Here is a 2,833-nt window from a genome sequence, read left to right on the forward strand (position 1 = left end):
TGAAGGTGGCATTTCCCCGTGGGTGGTTGCAGTGTCTGCAGACAGTGAGCAGGCACCAGCGGGACCCCAGAGTGGCTGAGGGCACACTGGGCAGGAGCCAGATCGCTGTCCCCCCAGGCAGTAGGTGCGACAGCGGGTCCTGGTCTGGAGCCTGAGGAGAGGGGAGGAGGGTCTCCTTGCTGCAGGAGTCTGGGTGGGGTGAGCTCCTGGCTGCAGGGCACCTCTGGCTACAGAAGGGGACGATGGGAGAGAGAGGGGCTCTGGCTGTGGGGGAAGGGGACTCCTGGCTGCTGATGTGGGAGGCGTGGGAGGGGGTTGCCAGGTTGCAGGGAGGATGGCATTAGGGAGAGGGCTCCTGGTCAAGTGCTGGGAAAAAGAGGAGGTGGGCACATCCAGCTGCAGGGTTGCACATGATGGTTGGAGGGGCTCCAGCTGTAAGTTTTGTGATCAGGGGCTGTTCACCAGGTGAAAGAGGCGCTTCCTGCTGTGGAGGTGGGGGGTGCAGTGAAGGACTCTGAGCTGCAGCAGTAGGGGTGGGGGAGCATGGGCTGTGACACTGGGCAGGGGAGATGCTTCAGGCCCTGCATTTGGGAGTGGCTGGTCTCTGGCTGTGCGGTGGGGGTGGGCTGACTGGCAGCAACGTCCCTCTCTCCCCTTTGCACTCACAGGCTGCGTCAGAGACTGCAACAGTCAGCACACATTCCTGTCTGATCAGGCTCCCTCCCTCAAGTCCTCTGCGATGGCTCTGGCGATGCTTCGGGACTGGTGCAGGAGGATGGGTGTGAACGCAGAGCGCTCTCTGCTCATCCTGGATATCCCTGACGACTGCGAGGAACATGAGTTCCAGGAGGCCGTGCGGGCTGCCCTGTCGCCCCTGGGCAGGTACCGAGTGCTCATCAAGGTCTTCAGAAAGGAGCTCGGGGCCAGGGCAGCCTTGGTGGAATTCGCTGAGGGTTTAAACCAAAGCTTGATTCCCCGCCAAATAGCAGGCAAAGGGGGACCCTGGAAAGTGATCTCCCTGCCCCAGGCCCTTGATGCTGAGTTTCAGGATATACCCAGTTTCCCTGCATAGCCCCAGGGGCAAGCAGTGGCCAGAGGTGCAGGTGAGGCAGGAGCTGCAGGTGAGGCAGGATCTGTAGGTGAGGCAGGAGGTGTGAATGAGGAAAGATCTGCAGGTGAGGCAGGAGCTGCAGGTGAGGAAGAAGAGGCAGGTGATGGAGGAGCTGCAGGTGCAGCAGGAGCCATAGGTGAAACAGGAGCTGTGGGTAAGGGTGAGGCAGAAGCCACAGGTGAGGGAGGATCTGCAAGTGAGGCAGAAGGTGCAGGTGAGGGAGGAGCTGGAGATGAGTTGAGAGTTGCAGAAGAGGCAAGAGAGTCAGATGAGGGAGCCGCAGGTGATACAGGACCTGCAGGTGAGGCAGGAGCTGTGGGTGAGGCAGGAGCTGTGGGTGAGGCAGGAGCTGCGGGTGAGGCAGGAGCTGTGGGTGAGGCAAGAGGGACAAATGTAACAAGAGCCTGGGTCCAGCCTCGGCGCTGCACCCTGCAGGCTGTGCTGGAAAACAGGGCCTACCAGGAACTGAGACCCTTTTCAGGGAGGGAGCAGCCAGGCTGCGAGGAAGAGTCCTTTGAGAGCTGGATGGAGCACGCCAAGGATATGCTGCAGCTGTGGTACCATGCGTCGGAAAGGGAGAGGAAGAGATGGCTGCTGGAGAGCTTGGGTGGCCCAGCCCTGGACGTTGTGAGCGGCCTCCTAGAGGAAGATCCCAACTTGGCGGCACTGGACTGCCAGGCGCTGCTGGACTGCTGGGCAGCGGTGCTGGGGCAGGCGTTTGGAAACCGGGACCCTCGAATGACTTCCAGGCTGAAGTTCCTGACCTGAACGCAGGGGCCCTTTGCCTTCCTGGTATGCCTGGAAGGCCTGCTGCAGATGGCCCTGGAGAAGGGGGCCGTCTGCCCGGCCCTGGCCAACCACCTGTGACTGCGGTAGGTGCAGCCTCAGGCCTGCCCTGGCGAAGCACTCCAGAATACCCTGAGGGGGATGCACTGGAGAGGAGGCCGCCCTACTTCCTGGGGCTGCTTCAGCTCATCCAGGAGATGGAGGCGTGGGCGGCCTCCCCAGTGAGGAGCCAGCATGTTGTGGCCTGGCCAGTGGCCACAGTGGAAAGTGAAGATCCAGTTGCCGCCCAGGCAGCTCCTGCCTGTGGAGATGCTGCTCAGGCCTCCTCAGCCCAGGAAGACGCCAGCCAGGCTGACCCTGGCGTGGAAGATGCTGCTGAGACTGCTCCTGCCACCAAAGAGGCCGCCAGGAGCACCCCTGCCATTAGGGAAGGTGAAAATGCCCCTGCAGGCCTCGAAGGAGCCAGAGGGTCTTGTCCAGGCAGGAGGCCAGGAGGCTGAGGAGCCCCCCGACCCAAGGGGGTCTTATGTTCATACTGGAGGAGTTGGAAAATGAGGATGGGGCCAGGAAGGTTGGTCAGCCCAAATCCTCCCCAGGCAAATAGGCTCAGAGGGCCCCAGGGCCTCCTCTCCTCTCAGGCCGCAGCATCCTGGAGGCAGTGGGGAGGCCAGGCCAGGGCTGGTCCCTCATCCCACATCAGGATCGGGGCCCCCCACCTCCCTCCAAAGGGCCCTGGCCACCACCATCAGCCCTTCCCGGTGACCCAGATGACCACGTTGATACCAAATGGGGTTGGGGGAGGCACCCCTGCTTTGCACCCAGTGCTGCACCCAGCCCCAGCCCCAAACCCTGCCGTCTCTGGGGGGCTGGCCAGGAGGGAGCCCTGAGTGGCCAGCTGCGACCTGGGTGGGGGCACCTGAAGATGTCTGTCCCCCA

The 2,833-nt window shown here is 62.6% G+C and overlaps 1 pseudogene; it reads left to right on the forward strand.

The window, feature by feature from the left end:
- The first annotated feature begins 725 nt into the window (after positions 1–725).
- LOC112268308 (paraneoplastic antigen Ma6F-like) lies at positions 726–2,501 on the forward strand (annotated as a pseudogene).
- The last annotated feature ends 332 nt before the right edge of the window (positions 2,502–2,833 follow it).

This window comes from Homo sapiens, chromosome X, assembly GCF_000001405.40.
Source record: "Homo sapiens chromosome X, GRCh38.p14 Primary Assembly".
Taxonomy (NCBI): domain Eukaryota; kingdom Metazoa; phylum Chordata; class Mammalia; order Primates; family Hominidae; genus Homo; species Homo sapiens.